General features: G+C 54.7%; 1 protein-coding gene, 1 long non-coding RNA gene and 1 pseudogene across 4 annotated transcripts, besides 14 other annotated features; 1 reads left to right on the top strand and 2 right to left on the bottom strand.

Moving 5' to 3' along the window:
* Positions 5,396 to 5,943: an enhancer, noted in NCBI's record as "H3K4me1 hESC enhancer chr17:40707968-40708515 (GRCh37/hg19 assembly coordinates)". NCBI's record gives its function as "activates a minimal SCP1, AML or CMV promoter by ChIP-STARR-seq in naive H9 embryonic stem cells {active_cell/tissue: H9 hESC(naive)}" and the evidence as "EXISTENCE:reporter gene assay evidence [ECO:0000049][PMID:30033119]".
* On the bottom strand, positions 6,679 to 8,970 carry HSD17B1 (hydroxysteroid 17-beta dehydrogenase 1). Of its 3 annotated transcripts, none has more exons than NM_001330219.3 (6): positions 8,863 to 8,970; positions 8,602 to 8,769; positions 8,275 to 8,454; positions 8,006 to 8,099; positions 7,311 to 7,491; positions 6,679 to 7,224 (listed from the first exon to the last, which is right to left on the bottom strand). In NM_001330219.3, the coding sequence occupies exons 1-6, from the start codon at positions 8,957 to 8,959 to the stop codon at positions 6,955 to 6,957; spliced, it is 990 nt and encodes a 329-aa protein (NP_001317148.1). In that variant the 5' UTR covers positions 8,960 to 8,970; the 3' UTR covers positions 6,679 to 6,954. The 3 variants fall into 3 exon arrangements, 2 of the variants coding, with proteins under 2 accessions (NP_001317148.1, NP_000404.2); NM_000413.4 differs by having other exon boundaries at positions 7,311 to 7,488; NR_144397.2 differs by lacking the exon at positions 8,006 to 8,099 and having other exon boundaries at positions 7,311 to 7,488.
* Positions 6,759 to 7,326: an enhancer, noted in NCBI's record as "H3K27ac hESC enhancer chr17:40706585-40707152 (GRCh37/hg19 assembly coordinates)". NCBI's record gives its function as "activates a minimal SCP1, AML or CMV promoter by ChIP-STARR-seq in primed H9 embryonic stem cells {active_cell/tissue: H9 hESC(primed)}" and the evidence as "EXISTENCE:reporter gene assay evidence [ECO:0000049][PMID:30033119]".
* Positions 6,950 to 7,109: a silencer, noted in NCBI's record as "silent region_8536". NCBI's record gives its function as "represses an Ori minimal core promoter by ATAC-STARR-seq in GM12878 lymphoblastoid cells {active_cell/tissue: GM12878}" and the evidence as "EXISTENCE:reporter gene assay evidence [ECO:0000049][PMID:35858748]".
* HSD17B1-AS1 (HSD17B1 antisense RNA 1) lies at positions 7,091 to 9,457 on the top strand. Its single transcript, NR_144402.1, has one exon. It is a non-coding gene; the product is annotated as an HSD17B1 antisense RNA 1 (long non-coding RNA).
* Positions 8,970 to 9,046: a promoter, noted in NCBI's record as "-78/+9 core promoter". NCBI's record gives the evidence for it as "EXISTENCE:reporter gene assay evidence [ECO:0000049][PMID:8614400, PMID:9231796]".
* Positions 8,970 to 9,876: a biological region, named in NCBI's record as "HSD17B1 promoter". NCBI's record gives its function as "regulatory_interactions: HSD17B1".
* Positions 9,004 to 9,037: a protein binding site, noted in NCBI's record as "HSD-AP-2/SP1". NCBI's record gives its function as "may negatively regulate promoter activity" and the evidence as "EXISTENCE:protein binding evidence [ECO:0000024][PMID:9231796]".
* Positions 9,006 to 9,025: a protein binding site, noted in NCBI's record as "HSD-SP1". NCBI's record gives its function as "positive regulation of promoter activity" and the evidence as "EXISTENCE:protein binding evidence [ECO:0000024][PMID:9231796]".
* Positions 9,045 to 9,082: a protein binding site, noted in NCBI's record as "HSD-GATA". NCBI's record gives the evidence for it as "EXISTENCE:protein binding evidence [ECO:0000024][PMID:9231796]".
* Positions 9,333 to 9,876: a mobile genetic element.
* Positions 9,447 to 9,480: a protein binding site, noted in NCBI's record as "RARE; include FP1 (PMID:10433203)". NCBI's record gives its function as "positive regulation of promoter activity" and the evidence as "EXISTENCE:protein binding evidence [ECO:0000024][PMID:8614400]".
* Positions 9,496 to 9,512: a transcriptional cis regulatory region, noted in NCBI's record as "FP2 site". NCBI's record gives its function as "important for transcriptional activity" and the evidence as "EXISTENCE:site-directed mutagenesis evidence [ECO:0005528][PMID:10433203]".
* Positions 12,818 to 12,877: an enhancer, noted in NCBI's record as "active region_12205". NCBI's record gives its function as "activates an Ori minimal core promoter by ATAC-STARR-seq in GM12878 lymphoblastoid cells {active_cell/tissue: GM12878}" and the evidence as "EXISTENCE:reporter gene assay evidence [ECO:0000049][PMID:35858748]".
* Positions 12,908 to 12,987: an enhancer, noted in NCBI's record as "active region_12204". NCBI's record gives its function as "activates an Ori minimal core promoter by ATAC-STARR-seq in GM12878 lymphoblastoid cells {active_cell/tissue: GM12878}" and the evidence as "EXISTENCE:reporter gene assay evidence [ECO:0000049][PMID:35858748]".
* On the bottom strand, positions 12,918 to 15,140 carry HSD17B1P1 (hydroxysteroid 17-beta dehydrogenase 1 pseudogene 1; annotated as a pseudogene).
* Positions 13,378 to 13,627: a silencer, noted in NCBI's record as "silent region_8535". NCBI's record gives its function as "represses an Ori minimal core promoter by ATAC-STARR-seq in GM12878 lymphoblastoid cells {active_cell/tissue: GM12878}" and the evidence as "EXISTENCE:reporter gene assay evidence [ECO:0000049][PMID:35858748]".

Here is a 16,562-nt window from a genome sequence, read left to right as displayed (position 1 = left end):
GTTTCAGCCAGGCCACCCAAGAGGCATCGGCAAAGCCAGAACTAACACCCAGATTTCCTTCATTCCAGGGACAGAGGTGGGGAATCACAGGGCTGCGCTGTATTAGCCCTCCTAGTACCCTCTCAGTCCGAGGATTCTCACATGGGAGGCTACTGGACAGGTCTGTCCACGTACCCATTTCACAGATGGAAAAACTGAGGCCTTGTGTGTACCTGGCTGCTGTAGGAGGCTCTCGCACCACCCAGATCCTCTGATGCGCTTGTTTGCGGGGTCTCTGTGGACAGGAGAAAAAGGCAAAGGCTGATTGGGCGCGGTGGCTCACGCCTGTAATCCCAGCACTTTGGGATGCCGAGGTGGGCAGAGCATCTGAGGTCGGGAGTTCGAGACCAACCTGACCAATATGGAGAAACCTTGTCTCTACTAAAAATACAAAATTAGACGAGCGTGGTGGCGCATGGCTGTAATCCCAGCTACTCAGGAGGCTGAGGCAGGAGAATCGCCTGAACCCGTGGGCGGAGGTCGCGGTGAGCCAAGATTGTGCCATTGCACTCCAACCTGGGCAACAAGAGCGAAACTCCCGGCCGGGCGCGGTGGCTGACGCCTGTAATCCCAGCACTTTGGGAGGCCGAGGCGGGCGGATCACGAGGTCAGGAGATCGAGACCATCCTGGCTAACACGGTGAAACCCCGTCTCTACTAAAAATACAAAAAAAAATTAGCCGGGCATGGTGGCAGACGCCTGTAGTCCCAGCTACTCGGGAGGCTGAGGCAGGAGAATGGCGTGAACCCGGGAGGAAGAGCTTGCAGTGAGCCGAGATCGCACCACTACACTCCAGCCTGGGTGACAGAGTGAGACTCCGTCTCAAAAAAAAAAAAAAAAAAAAAAAAGCGAAACTCCCTCTGGAAAAAAAAAAAGAAAAAAGAAAAAGGCAAAGGCTGGATACCTAGTGTGGGAGATTTACTGCGAAGCTAATGGGCGCTTGAAAGGCTGAGTGTGGAGGGGAAGCCAGGTTGCTATTAGAATACATCTCAGGTAAGTTGTGCATGGAGATCAAAAGGGAGAGAAGCCAGTCTCCAAGATTCCAGTAATGTGCCGTGGTATCCGAAACTTAAAAAAAAAAACAAAACTCACTTTTATATGTAATTTTGTGTTTATCTTTTGTATTCTTGAAGACGGTCTCCAAAAGCAAATAAGCCCCCAGCCCCACAAAACCTGGGCTTATGATGGAGAAAAGGAGATGCTATTTTAGATAAGGTGATTCAGGAAAACAGCAAAGACCTGGAGGAAGAGATACAGTCAAGGAGGGAAGAGTTGTAGAGCCACAAAGGTATTAAGGGACCAGGCTTCTCACAGGAGACATGTTAGATTTAAAGATAGGGTCTGATTTGAAGACACAAACAGCAAAGGCTGCCAGAGAATGTCCCAAGACATCTGGACACACAGTCTGACACACCACATACAGAGTCATTTTTATTGAGTAAATGTGTATTTTACTGCCTCCCACAGGGATGGACCAGTGAACAAAACAATGTCCCTGCCATCCTGGGGTATAGAGTACTGTGTGTCTTGGGGTTGCAGACAGGAATCATGCCACCATAAATAAATCTATAATACATGGCCAGGCGCGGTGGCTCACGCCTGTAATCCCAGCACTTTGGGAAGCTGAGGCAGGCAGATCACCTGAGGTCAGGAGTTCAAGACTAGCCTGGCCAACATAGTGAAACCCCGTCTCTACTAAAAATACAAAAAATTAGCTGGGTGTGGTGGCGGTACTTGTGATTCCAGCTACTCAGGAGGCTGAGGCAGGAGAATCGCTTGAACCTGGGAGGCAGAGATTGCAATGAGCCGAGATCACGCCACTGCACTCCAGCCTGGGTGACAGAGAGACTCCGTCTCCAAAAAAAATAAAAATTAAATTAAAAAACCCAAATCCATAATATATCTACTGGTGATAAAGGATAAGAACAAAAGTAAAGCAGAGTAAGGGAGCTATAGTGGAGAAGCTGAGAGGCTATTTTAGATAAGGTGGTTCAGGAAAACAGCAAAAATCTGAAGGAAGACATAGAATCAGAGATCAGGGAATGTGACCCAGAGGGGGCCAAGTACAAAGGCCCTGAGGCAGGAGGGCTGAACTGGGTGATGTAGATGGAGATTGGTGGGAGATGAGATCAGAAAGGGGGCAGGAACCAGATCAAAGAAGGTCTTGGAGAGCTTTGGGGAGAACCTTGGTGCTATGGTTCGAATGTCCCTGCCACAACTCATGTTGAAATAAAAAATTCAATTGCTACTGTCTTAAGAGATGGGACTTTTTTTCTCTTTGAGACAGGGTCTCACTCTTGTCCCCCAGGCTGGAGTGCAGTGGGTTGATCATGGCTCACAGCAGCCTCAACTGCCTGGGCTCAAGCAGTCCTCTGCCTTGGCCTCCTGAGCAGCTGGAACTACAGATGTGTGCCACCACACCTGGCTAATTAAAAAAAAAATTTTTTTTTTCATACAGACAGGATCTTGCTGTGTTGCCTGGGCTGGTTTCCAACTCCTGAACTCAAGCAGTCCTCCCACTTCAGCCTCCCAAAGTGTTGGGATTACAGGCCTGAGCCACTGCACTGGGCAGGGTGGGGCCTTTAAGAGGTAATTAGGTCAGCTGGGCGAGGTGGCTCACTCCTGTAATCTCAGCACTTTGGGAAGCCAAAGTGGTGGATCTCAGGTGGATCACCTGAGATCAGGAGTTTGCGACCAGCCCAACCAACGTGGTGAAACCCCGTCTCTACTAAAAGTACAAAAATTAGCGGGGTGTGGTGGCATGCGCCTAAAATCCCAGCTTCTCAAGAGGCCGAGGCAGGAGAAAAAAAAAAAAGATAATTAGATCATGAGGGCTCTGCCCTCTTGAATAGATAAATACTGTTATCATGGGAGTGGCTCCTGATGGATGGACGACATTTGGCCCAATTTCGTGTCTCTCATTTGCTTCCACCTTCTGCCCTTCCATCCTGGGACAGCCCTTTGCCAGATACTGCATGAAGTTCTTGCACTTTCCAGCCCCTAAAACTGTGAAGCTCTGAGCAAAATAAACTTTGCTTCTTTTGTTTTGTTTTAAGACAGAGTCTCACTGTCACCCAGGTTGGAGTGCAACGGCATGATCTCGGCTCACTGCAACCTCTGCCTCCCAGGTTCAAGTGATTCTCCTGCTTCAGCCTCCTGAGTAGCTGGGATTACAGGCACCCACCACCACGCCCAGCTAATTTTTCTATTTTTAGTAGAGACAGGCTTTCACCAGGTTGGCCAGGCTGGTCTTGAACTCCTGACCTCAGGTGATCCACCCGCCTCGGCCTCCCAAAGTGCTGGGATTAAAGACATGAGCCACCGCACCCGGCCGAGTCTCACTCTTTACCCAGGCTGGAGTGCAGTGGAGAAATCTCAGCTCACTGCAACCTTCGTCTCCCGGGTTCAAGCGATTCTCCTGCCTCAGCCTCCCGAGTAGCTGGGATTACAGGCACAAACTACCACGCCCAGCTAATTTTTGTATTTTTAGTAGAGACGGGGTTTTACCATGTTGGCCAGGCTGGTCTCGAACTCCTGATCTCAAGTGATTCACCGGCCTTGGGCTCCCAAAGTGTTGGGATTACAGGCGTAGCCACCACACCTGGCCTCTTTCTTTCTTTTATGAGACAGGGTCTCCCTCTCTTGCCCAGGCTGGAATGCAGTGGTGTGCCCACAGCTTACTGTGGCCTCAACCTCCTGGGCTCAAACAGTCTTCCCATGTCAGCCTCCCAAGAAGCTGGGACTACAGATGTGTGCAACCACACCCAACTATTTTTTTTGTTTTTTCGTAGAGACGGGGTCTCACTTTGTTGCCCAGGCTCCCTTTTTTATTTTAAATTTTTTTTAATTTTATTATTATTATTTTGAGATGGAGTTTCACTCTTGTTGCCCAGGCTAGAGTACAATGGCGCAATCTCCACTCACTGCAGCGTACGCCTCCGGGGTTCAAGCAATTCCCCTGCCTCAGCCGCCTGAGTAGCTGGGATTACAGGCACGTGCCACCACGCCTGGCTAATTTTTTGGGTTTTTAGTAGAGACAAGGTTTCACCCTGTTGGCCAGGCTGGTCTTGAACTCCTGACCTCAGGTGATCCACCCGCCTCGGCCTCCCAAAGTGCTGGGATTACAGGCATGAGCCACCACGCCCGGCCAATTTTTATTTTTTTGAGACAAAGTCTCTGTTGCCCAGGCTGGAGTGCAGTGTCCCAATCTTGGCTCACTGCAGCCTCCACCTCCCTGGTTCAAGAGATTCTCCTTTGTCAGCCTCTGGAGCAGCTGCGATTACAGGCGCCCACCACCATGCCTGGCTAATTTTTATATTTTTAGTAGACACAGGGTTTCACCATATTGGCCAGGTTGGTCTCAAACTCCTGACCTCAAGCAATAACGTCCGCCTCAGCCTCACAAAGTGCTGTGATTATAGGCATGAGCCATCACGCCCGGCCCTGTCATTTTTAAAAGATCATTTTAAATGCACTGTGCTAATTTTACTGCTGATGGGCAAGAGTGGAATCAAGAAAACTAGTTAGGAGGCTACTGCTGTAATTGAAGGGAAAGATGACAGTGTGCAGTCTCGAATAGGGTGATTTTGGAATATGCTTTGATGAGCAAAGGTAGAGCTGTCAGTATTTGCTGCTGAATTGGTTGAAAGGTGAGAGAGACTGGAGTCAAGGACTACTCCAGGGTTTTTAAAACCAGTATTGGGAAAAATGGAGTTGTCATACAGTAAAGTAGAGAAGACTGGGGGAGGAGCCGGTAGGAGGACTGGAAATGTGGAATTGGGGTTTAGACACATTAAGTTCATTGCATCAGGTGGACGTGTTGTATTGAGTAGGCAGTTGGAGATACAGACCTGGAGTCTGTGGGAGACAGTGGGGTTTCTTTGGTGGGGGGGTCATCGGCATCTAAGTGCTATTCGAAGTCATGGGACTGCAGAAGATTATATTAACAATGTGAATATTCACAAGCTTGAAAAAATGAATGTACGGAAGAGAGGGGGTCACACTTTACCTCTTATTATCCCACCCCCAGGGGTGACCTTGTGAGCCACACCACACAGGTACACACATGCACGCATATGTACACACACTGTCACAGAGGGGCAAAGGGGGTTGGCGAGAGCGGGACTGAGAGCAGATCCCAGGCCTCAGAAACCCATGCCACCTGGGCCCCCTCCCTGTGGCCTTCCTGGATGCTGTAGGGATAGCAGATCTGTCTGGGTCAGCAGGTCAGGGCGACTGGCAGGAGGGGGTGGCTGGGAGGCCTCTTCCTCCAAGAGCAGGGGCAGCACATCATCCAACAGGCAGAGAAGACCCTCATCCGAGGTAGGGGCAGGTCAGGGTGGAGTGCCTGCCTCCTTCCCCCAGTGCCCCACACAAAGCTCCAAGAGCTCCAACAGGCTCCTGTCTGTTTCCACTTCCCAGGCTTTCTGTGGTCATGTCCCTGCCCACTCCAAAGGGCCATCCCCCTCAGCCTTGCCTCCCTCTCAGACCCAGCTGAATCCCTGCCTCGGTACCGCCCCCTCCTGGGGCACTCCTGCCCCCTTCCTCTGCTGCATCCTCACCTAGCCTCCTATCTGTTCACACCTCCCCTGCACCAGACCTCCACAGAAGTTCAGACAGTGGCTCTACAACCCTACTGGCCCCTATCAATGACTCCTGCCCCCCTGGGACCCTCCACTGGGCTCAGGAAAGACGGGCCATTGTAGCAAAGTAGCCAGTCCTGTAGCCCCAGCTGGACCTCCTGGTGAGGCAGCTTGCCAGATGGTGGGGATCGCTCAGTCCTCTGGGGCAGAACAGGGTGAGTGGGGCTGTCTCCCTTTGATTCACTTAGCCCTCTTTCTTCTTTACACATTTGCAAAATGTGACAGTAGTCATATTACTATTCATTCTAATAACAGTCCTTGCTGGCTATTAAACCTCTATACTAGCACTTTCAGGCATTATCTCCACCATTACTAAAACCGATTAGATAGGTATTATTATACCCATTTTACAGATAAGAAAGACTCAGAGGGCCGGTCGCGGTGGCTCATGCCTGTATGCCCAGCAATCTGAGAGGCCGAGGCGGGCGGATCACCTAAGGTCGAGAGTTTGAGACCAGCCTGACCAACATGGAGAAACCCCGTCTCTACCGAACATACAAAATTAGCCGGTATCCCAGCTACTTGGGAGGCTGAGGCAGGAGAATCACTTGAATCTGGGAAGCGGAGATTGTGGTGAGCCGAGATTGCCCCATTGCACTCCAGCCTAGGCAACAAGAGCGAAACTCTGTCTCAGAAAATAAAAAAAAAAGAAAGAAAGAAAGAAAAGAAAGACTGAGAGAAAGCAAGGAACTTGCCTGAGGTCTCATGGCTAATGGGGTCCAAGTCACAACCTGACTCTACCCCAAGCCAATTCCCACCTAACTCCTCCTGCAGATGCCCCTTGGTTATCCAGAGACTGTGTCTGGCCTTTAATATGGACTTGAGGTGTGATCCTGGGCTGGCTTCTTTCTGGACCTTGGTTTCTGAGTTTTTCGGTTGGTTGGTTCATTTGATTAATTGACAGGGTCTCACTCTGTCACCCAGGCTGGAGTGCAGTGGCCCCATCATGCTCACTGCACCCTCCAACTCCTGGGCTCAAGGAATGGTGCCACTGTGCTGATTTTTAAATTTTCTTTATTTTTGTAGAGATGGGGGTCTCACTGTGTTGCTCTGGCTGGTCTCCAACTCCGGGGCTTGAGCGATCCTCCTGCCTCCGCCTCCCAAAGCGCTGGCATTACAGGCGACAGCCATCGCGCCTAGCTGCGCTGGTAAAACTGGCTAACGCGATCTATCTTAATTAGCCACCCACAGCTGCTACCGCCGCCCCATCCCCAGGGACCACACAGACCCAGGGGACAAAGAAGGGCGCGGGAGACAGCGGCTGAGGAAGCCTTTACTGCGGGGCGGCCGGAGGATCGCCGAGCTCAGGGTCCCCCACCGCACCGCGCCCGGCCTCGTCCTCTGCCCCAGGCCCGGCCCCGCCCCCAGCCTCGGCCCCAGCCTCGGCCTTTGCCGGAACGTCGCCGAACACTTCCCGGTGCATGGCGGTGACGTAGTTGGAGCCGCTGGGGTCGTCCAGGCGCATCCGCAGCAGGGGCAGGAAGCGCTCGGTGGTGAAGTAGCGCAGGGTCGGCTTCGGGGCGCGCAAAGCGGTGAGGAAGACCTGCGGCGGCGGGAGGAGAGCTGTGGCCACCGCTGCGCGCCGGAGGACGCACCGCCCCCACTCCTGGAGTCCAGCCCGGCGCTCACCTCCGCCACCTCCTCAGGGTTCTGCGCCGCCTCGCGAAAGACTTGCTTGCTGTGGGCGAGGTATTGGTAGAAGCGGTGGAAGGTGTGGATGTCCGTGCGGTCCAGCACCTCCTCTGGGCTGCCCAACACCTTCTCCATGAAGGCGGTGTGCACTGGGCCGCACTCGATCAGGCTCAAGCTGCTGGCCGGAGAGCAACGAGTGGGAGGGGGCGGACGCCAGCCAGGCCCCAGTCCCAGCCCCAACCCCAGTCCCAGCCCCAACCACGTCCCGGCCCCCGACCGCGAGCAGCACCGCTGCGCTGGGAAGTGAGGCGGAAAGGGCGCTGGGGATAACCAGAACATTTGAAACGCGGGTTCCTGCCGGAGCAGCCCTCCCAAATCCATCTGAGGCTACAAGGGAGCCCTGGTGTCAGGATTCGAATCTAGCGGGGTCCCTGGCCGCTGTGTGACCTTGGGCCAGTCACCTAACCTCTCTGGGCTGGAGCTTCCCCATAACAATACCAACACTTCAGCAGCTAGGTCAGCAGGTGGCACAATGCGTGCCATGCGCCCAGCCCAAGTGCCTGGCACACAGCTAATGTGAGCCGGGCAGAGAGGGCCAGGGAGATCGCCCCAGAGCGGCTCCCGCAGGACAGGGTGCTCGGCGTCTCTAGGTCAGAGTTAAGAGGGTTCGGGGAACGGGGGTGTTGACTCACTGGACCCCAAAGGGCAGCAGCAGAACCGCCAGACTCTCGCATAAGCCTTCGAGCGCGAACTTGCTGGCGCAATAAACGTCATTGAAAGGCAGCCCTTAGGTGGGGAGACGAGGTTCCTGAGGCGCAGCGGCCAGGGGGTCATCCCCGGGCAGACGGTGCCCCTCCAAGCTGACGGCACCCCACTCCACCCCCCCCGCGGAACCTGCCTTCAAGGCTCAGCTCCGCACACAAAGAATCTGGAGCTGCCGAGGCCACTCCCTACCACTCACCCATCAATCCTCCCACGCTCCCGGTCACCAACACGCGTCCCGAACCGCGCCTCTTCATGTCTGGCAGGAAGGCCTGCAGCATCCGCACAGTCCCTACTACATTCACGTCCAGCACAGAGGCCACGGCGTCCTCCCCCAGCGCCTCCAGCGGCCCCAGCAGGCCCAGGCCTGCGTTACACACTGCGGAGACAAGAGGCCCGACCAGCCCGCCTCAGCATCACCCTCAGCACGGCCTGTCCCCTCGTGCTCCCTGGGCCTGGGAACATGTTGGTTTCAACGCAGGGCGGAGAAGGCTCCTAGGAGCCCATATGCTTCCAGGAGGCTCACCCAGCACGTCCACGCGGCCCTCAGTCACGCGTTCCCGGGCAGCGGCCACGGATTTTGAGTCCCTTACGTCCAGCTGCAACGTCTCCAGGGATCCCGGAGGGCATGCCAGGGCCCGGGCCGCCTCCCACAGCCGGCCCTGTGTTTTCAGGTCCCTCAACGTGGCATACACTGGAGGTTTTGGGAGAGGAGGAAGATCTGACTTCCCTTCTGGCCTCCAAGGGCTCCTCCCTTCTCTCCCTCCCTGTCCCTGCCTATCTATACCTTTGAAGCTCTGGGATGGATCTGAAGCCAGACGTACGGCCAAGTGCAGGCCGATGCCCGAGGAACAGCCGGTGATGAGCACCACGGTGCGGGCCATGGTGAGACTGTGGGGAGAGGCTGGGGCTCTGGGCTTGATATCACCTGCTTCGCCCCGCCCCGCCTGCGGGCCCCCACCCCTTGTTGTGTCTCCCACGCAATCTCAAGGATAAGCCTTCCTGCGGGTCCCTGGCCCGCTCTCCCCACCCTGTTCTGAGCCAAAACAGACATGAGCCCACTGCTTGGAACAACAAACTGTCCTGGTTGCTGGTCAGAGGGAGGGGAGGCTTTACAAGCAGGTGTGGGTTCCCACGTGGGCACAGAGTGGCCCCCTGGGCAGATTCCCCTGGGTATGCCTCTGTGCCACAGGAGCGATTATAGTGACCGCAGTTTGCTGCAGAGGCTGTGAAAGTAAAGGCGTTGGGAGGTGGGAGATGATTGTATATGTGCTGGTTTCGTCCAGGGTTCCTAGCTCATAACTCACATGACCATGGTTACAGTCTTACGTTGTCATGTTGGGGTGCCTCAGGCCTCAAAAAACAGCCTTTCGTCTCTCTGACCTTCTCCTGTCCTCTTTTCAGCTGCCCAAGGCAGGACTCTAATCTGATTGTGGGTTGTAGGATCCTCATTCCAGAGTGGGTCCTTGCCCCATACCCTGGAGAAAGGAATGCTGCACAAAGGCCCAAAGAATCTGGACTGGCCTTGCTGGGCTTAGATCAGACCCTTTTTGCCCAATCACATTATCACAGTTGTCCATGCTTCAGTCATGGACAGCCAATGGAGTTCTCCATAAAAGGCCCAAAGGACAGGGTTCGGGAGCTTCTGAGGGCTGAACGTGTGGAGGCTGACAGAATGTGCCCAGAGGGTGACGTAACCCCAACTCTATGGAGATAGAAGCTCCTGCTCTGGACCCTTCCAGACCGCCCTGTCTGTATCTCTTCATATGGCTGTTTATTTCTATCCTTTAAAATATGCTTTGAGGCTGGGCACGGTGGCTCATGCCTGTAATCCCAGCACTTTGGGAGGCCCAGGAAAGGGGATTGTTGGAGCCCAGGAGTTCAAGACCAGGCCAGGTAACAGAGTGAGACCCGGTCTCTGCAAAAAATATTAAAAAGCTTCCCAAGTAGCCGGGACTACAGGTGTGTGCCATCACTGCCACCATACCCAGCTAATTTTTTGACTTTTTTGTAGAGACGGGGTCTCACTTTGTTTCCCAGGCTTTTTTTTATTTTTGAGACAAAGTATTGCTTAGGTTGGAGTGCAGTGTCTTAATCTTGGCTCACTGCATCCTGCATCTGCCTGGTTCAGGCGATTCTCCTGCATCAGCCTCCCGAGTAGCTGGGATTACAGGCACCCGCCACCACGCCCAGCTAATTTTTAGTATTTTTAGTAGAGACGGAGTTTCACCATGTTGGCCAGGCTGGTCTCAAACCCCTGATGTCAAGCGATCTGCCCACCTCAGCCTCCCAAAGTGCTCGGATTATAAAAAAGTGCCACCCCACCTGGCCCTGTCATTTTTAGAAGATTATTTTATTTTGAGACGGAGTTTCGCGCTTCTTGCCCAGGCTGGAGTGCTGTGGCACGATTCTGGCTCACTGCAACCTCCACCTCCCGGGTTCAAGCAGTTCTCCTGTCTCAGCCTCCCAAGTAGTTGGGATTACAGACACGTCCCACCACATCCGGCTAATTTTTGTATTTTTAGTAGAGATGGGGTTTCTCCCTGTTGGTGAGGATGGTCTTGAACTCCCAACCTAAGGGGATCAGCCAGCCTCCACCTCCCAAAGTGCTGGTATTACAGGCGTGAGCCACTGTGCCCATCCTAAAAGATCATTTTAACTGCTCTGGGGTAATTTCACTGCTGATGGGCAGGAGTGGAATCAAGAAAACTAGTTAGGAGGCTACTGCTGTAATTGAAGGGAGAGATGACAGTGTGCAGTCTGGAATAGGGTGATTTGGGGATATGCTTTGATGAGCAAAGGTAGAGCTGTCAGTATTTGCTGCTGAATTGGTTGAAAGGTGAGAGAGACTGGAGTCAAGGACTACTCCAGGGTTTTTAAAACCAGTATTGGGAAAAATGGAGTTGTCATATAGTAAAGTAGAGAAGACTGGGGGAGGAGCCGGTAGGAGGACTGGAAATGTGGAATTGGGGTTTAGACACATTAAGTTCATTGTATCAGGTGGACGTGTTGTATTGAGTAGGCAGTTGGAGATACAGACCTGGAGTCTGTGGGAGACAGTGGGGTTTCTTTGGTGGGGGGGTCATCGGCATCTAAGTGCTATTCGAAGTCATGGGACTGCAGAAGATTATATTAACAATGTGAATATTCACAAGCTTGAAAAAATGAATGTACGGAAGAGAGGGGGTCACACTTTACCTCTTATTATCCCACCCCCAGGGGTGACCTTGTGAGCCACACCACACAGGTACACACATGCACGCATATGTACACACACTGTCACAGAGGGGCAAAGGGGGTTGGCGAGAGCGGGACTGAGAGCAGATCCCAGGCCTCAGAAACCCATGCCACCTGGGCCCCCTCCCTGTGGCCTTCCTGGATGCTGTAGGGATAGCAGATCTGTCTGGGTCAGCAGGGCAAGGCGACTGGCAGGAGGGGGTGGCTGGGAGGCCTCTTCCTCCAAGAGCAGGGGCAGCACATCATCCAACAGGCAGAGAAGACCCTCATCCAGAGGTAGGGGCAGGTCAGGGTGGAGTGCCTGCCTCCTTCCCCTAGTGCCCCACACAAAGCTCCAAGAGCTCCAGCAGGCTCCTGTCTGTTTCCACTTCCCAGGCTTTCTGTGGTCATGTCCCTGCCCACTCCAAAGGGCCATCCCCCTCAGCCTTCCCTCCCTCTCAGACCCAGCTGAATCCCTGCCTCGGTACCGCCCCCTCCTGGGGCACTCCTGCCCCCTTCCTCTGCTGCATCCTCACCTAGCCTCCTATCTGTTCACACCTCCCCTGCACCAGACCTCCACAGAAGTTCAGACAGTGGCTCTACAACCCTACTGGCCCCTATCAATGACTTCTGCCCCCCTGGGACCCTCCACTGGGCTCAGGAAAGATGGGCCATTGTAGCAAAGTAGCCAGTCCTGTAGCCCCAGCTGGACCTCCTGGTGAGGCAGCTTCCCAGATGGTGGGGATCGCTCAGTCCTCTGGGGCAGAACAGGGTGAGTGGGGCTGTCTCCCTTTGATTCACTTAGCCCTCTTTCTTCTTTACACATTTGCAAAATGTGACAGTAGTCATATTACTATTCATTCTAATAACAGTCCTTGCTGGGTATTAAACCTCTATACTAGCACTTTCAGGCATTATCTCCACCATTACTAAAACCGATTAGATAGGTATTATTATACCCATTTTACAGATAAGAAAGACTCAGAGGGCCGGATGGGGTGGGTCATGCCTGTAATCCCAGCACTCTGAGAGGCCAGGGCGGGCGGATCACCTGAGGTCGGGAGTCCAAGACCAGTCTGACCAACATGGAGAAACCTCGTCTCTACTAAAAATACAAAATTAGCTGGGCGTGGTGGCACATGCCTGCAATCCTAGCTACACTTGAACCCGGGAGGCAGAGGTTGTGGTGAACTGAGACCGCGCTATTGCACTCCAGGCTGGGCAACAAGAGTGAAACTCCGTCTCAAAACAAAAGAAAAACAAAAAAGAAAAGAAAAGGGAAAGGAAAGGAAAGCACTCAGAGAAAGCAAGGAACTTGCCTGAGGTCTCATGGCTAATGGAGTGCAGGTCACAACCTGACTCTACCCCAACCCAAGTCCCACCTAACTCGTCCTGCAGATGCCCCTTGGGTATCCAGTGACTGTGTCTGGGCTTTACTGTGGACTTGAGGCATGATCCTGGGCTGGCTTCTTTCTGGACCTTGGTTTCTGGGTTGTTGGGTTGGTTGGTTGATTAGATTAATTAATTGACAGTGTCTCACTCTATCGCCCAAGCTGGAGAGCAGTAGCTCGATCATGCCCACTGCAGCCTCCAACTCCTGAGCTCAAGGAATGGTGCCACTGTGCTAATTTTTTTATTTTAGAGATGGGGTGTCTCACTATGTTGCTCAGGCTGGTCTGGAACTCCTGGCCTGGAGCGATCCTCCTGCCTCGGCCTTCCAAAGCTCTGGGATTATAGGCGACAGCCATCGCGCCTAGCCGCGCAGATATAACGGGCTAACGTGATCTGTCTTAATTAGCCATCCACAGCCGTCACCGCCGTCCCATCCCCAGGGACCGCACAGGCCCAGGAGACAAAGGAGGGCGCGGGAGACAGTGGCTGACGGAGCCTTTCTTGCGGGGCGGCCAGAGGATCGCTGAGCTCAGGGTCTCCCATCCCACCGGCCCCGCCCCCGGCCTCGGCCCCAGCCCCGGCCCCAGCCTCGGCCTCTGCGGGATCGTCGGCGAACACGTCCCGGTGCATGGCGGCGGCGTAGTCGAAGCCAAAGGGGTCGTCCAGGCGCATCAGCAGCTGGTGCAGGAAGCGCCTGGTTGTGAAGTAGCGCAGGGTCGGCTTCGGGGCGCGCATAGCGGTGAGGAAGACCTGCGGCGGCGGGAGAGGAGCTCTGGCCCGGGCTGCGCGCAGGACGACGCACCGCCCCCGCTCCCGGAGTCCCGCCCCCCGCTCACCTTCACCACCTCCTCAGGGTGCTGCGCCTCCTCGCGGTAGATCTCCTTGCTGTGGTGGAGGTATTAGTGCAAGAGGCGGAAGGTCCGGGTGTTCGTGCGGTCCATCACCTGGTCGGGACCGCCCAACACCTTCTGCATGAAGGCGGTGTCCACAGGGCCGCACTCGATCAGGCTCACGCTGCTGGCCCGAGAGCCGCAAGTGGGCAGGGACGGAGGCGACCCAGGCGCCAAGTCCCATCTCCTGCCCCAGCACCGGCCCCGACCCCGGCCCTGGCCACGACCCAGAACAGCACCGCTGCGTCCCGAAGGTGGAAAGAGCGCTGGGGATAACCAGAACATTTGAATAGCGGGTTATTGCTCGACAGCCCTCCCAAACCCATCTGAGGCTGCCAGGTAGCCCTGGTGTCAGAATTCGAACCTGGCGGGATCCCCGGCCGCTGCATGACCTTGGGCCAGTCACCTAACCTCTCTTGGCTGGAGCTTCCCCATAACAATACCAACACTTCAGCAGCCAGGTCAGCAAGTGGCACAATGCGTGCCAATGCTCCAGCCTAAGTGCCTGGCACGCAGCAAATGTAAGCCGGGCAGAGACCAGAGCGGCTTCCGCAGGACAGGGTGCTCGGCATCTCTAGGTCAGAGTTAAGAGGGTTGAGGAGACGGGGGTGTTGACTCACTGGACCCCAAAGGGCAGCAGCAGAACCGCCAGACTCTCGCATAAGCCTTCGAGCGCGAACTTGCTGGCGCAATAAACGTCATTGAAAGGCAGCCCTTGGGTGGGAAGATGAGGTTCCTGAGGCGCAGCGGCCAGGGGGTCATCCCCCGGCAGGCAGTGCCCCTCCAAGCTGATTGCACCCCACCCCCTAAGGAGCCTGCCTTCAAGGCTCAGCTCTGCACACAAAGAATCTGGAGCTCCGGGCCCGGTCCCTGCCACTCACCCATCAATCCTCCCATGCTCCCAGTCACCAACACGCGTCCCGAACCCGGCCGCTTCATGTCTGGCAGGAAGTCCTGCAGCACCCGCACAGTACCTACTACATTCACATCCAGTACAGAGGCCACAGCGTCCTCCCCCAGCGGCCCCAGCAGGCCCAGGCCTGTGTCACACACTGCGGGGACAGAGGCCCAACCAGCCCGCCTCAGCATCACCCTCAGCACGGCCTGTCCCCTCATGCTCCAGGGGCCTGGGGACATGTTGGTTTCAACGCAGGGCGGAGAAGGCTCCTAGGAGCCCATATGCTTCCAGGAGGCTCACCCAGCACATCCACACGGCCCTCGGTCACGCGTTCCCGGGCAGCGGCCAGGGAGCTTGAGTTCCTTACATCCAGCTGCAACCTCTCCAGGGATCCCTGAGGGCATGCCAGGGCCCGGGCCGCCTCCCACAGCCGGCCCTGTGTTTTCAGGTCCCTCAACGTGGCATACACTGGAGGTTTTGGGAGAGGAGGAAGATCTGACTTCTCTTCTGGCCTCCAAGGGCTTTTCCCTTCTCTCCCTCCCTGTCCCTACCTATCTATACCTTTGAAGCTCTGGGATGGGTCCAAAGCCAGATGTATTGCCAAGTGCAGGCCAATACCTGAGGAACAGCCGGTGATGAGCACCACGGTGCAGGCCATGGTGAGACTGTGGGGAGAGGCTGGGGCTCTGGGCTGGATATCACCTGCTTCGCCCCGCCCCGCCTGCGGGCCCCCACCCCTTGTTGTGTCTCCCACGCAATCTCAAGGATAAGCCCTCCTGCGGGTCCCTGGCCCGCTCTCCCCACCCTGTTCTGAGCCAAAACAGACATGAGCCCACTGCTTGGAACAACAAACTGTCCTCGTTTCTGGTCAGAGGGAGGGGAGGCTTTACAAGCAGATGTGGGTTCCCACGTGGGCACAGAGTGGCCCCCTGGGCAGATTCCCCTGGGTATGCCTCTGTGCCACAGGAGCGATTATAGTGACCGCAGTTTGCTGCAGAGGCTGTGAAAGTAAAGGTGTTGGGAGGTGGGAGATGATTGTATATGTGTTGGTTTCGTCCAGGGTTCCTAGCTCATAACTCACATGACCATGGTTACAGTCTTTCGTTGTCATGTTGGGGCGCCTCAGGCCTCAAAAAACAGCCTTTCCTCTCTTTGACCTTCTCCTGTCCTCTTTTCAGCTGCCCAAGGCAGGATTCTAATCTGATTGTGGGTTGTAGGATCCTCATTCCAGAGTGGGTCCTTGCCCCATACCCTGGAGAAAGGAATGCTGCACAAAGGCCCAAAGAATCTGGACTGGCCTTGCTGGGCTTAGATCAGACCCTTTTTGCCCAATCACATTATCACAGTTGTCCATGCTTCAGTCATGGACAGCCAATGGAGTTCTCCATAAAAGGCCCAAAGGACAGGGTTCGGGAAGCTTCTGAGAGCTGAACGTGTGGAGGCTGACAGAAGGTGAAGAACTCATCCATGTGCCTGGAGGGTGATGTAACCCCAACTCTATGGAGATAGAAGCTCCTGCTCTGGGCCCTTCCAGACCGCCCTGTCTGTATCTCTTCATATGGCTGTTTATTTCTATCCTTTAAAATATCCTTTGAGGTTGGGCACGGTGGCTGATGCCTGTAATCCCAGCACTTTGGGAGGCCAAGGCAAGGGGATTGCTGGAGCTCAGGAGTTCAAGACCAGCCAGGGCAACAGAATGAGACCCCGTCTTTGCAAAAACTACAAAAAAATTAGCTGGGTGTGGTGGTGTATGCTTAGAGTCCCAGCCACTTGCGGGGTGGGGCGCTGAGGCGTGGGGTTTGGGGGGATGGAGGCTGTAGTGAGCCGAGATCATGCCACTGCACTCCAGCCTGGGTGACGGAGCCAGATCCTGCCACTGCAGTCATTCTGGATGACAGAGTGAGACCCTGTCTCAAAAAAGAAAGAAAAAAATTTTTTTCCTCTGTAATAAAGCAATAAACATAATAAGGGTTTCCCTGTGTTTCGTGGGTCACTGTCGCAAATGAGTTGACTCCAAAGAGGGGAAGGGGGTCATGGGAACTCCAACTTGAAGCCAGTTAGTCAGAAGTTCCAGGGATCAGGACTTGTAAC

This window comes from Homo sapiens, chromosome 17, assembly GCF_000001405.40.
Source record: "Homo sapiens chromosome 17, GRCh38.p14 Primary Assembly".
In the NCBI taxonomy this organism is placed as follows: Eukaryota; Metazoa; Chordata; class Mammalia; order Primates; family Hominidae; genus Homo; species Homo sapiens.
This window is presented reverse-complemented; position numbering and strand designations above follow the sequence as displayed.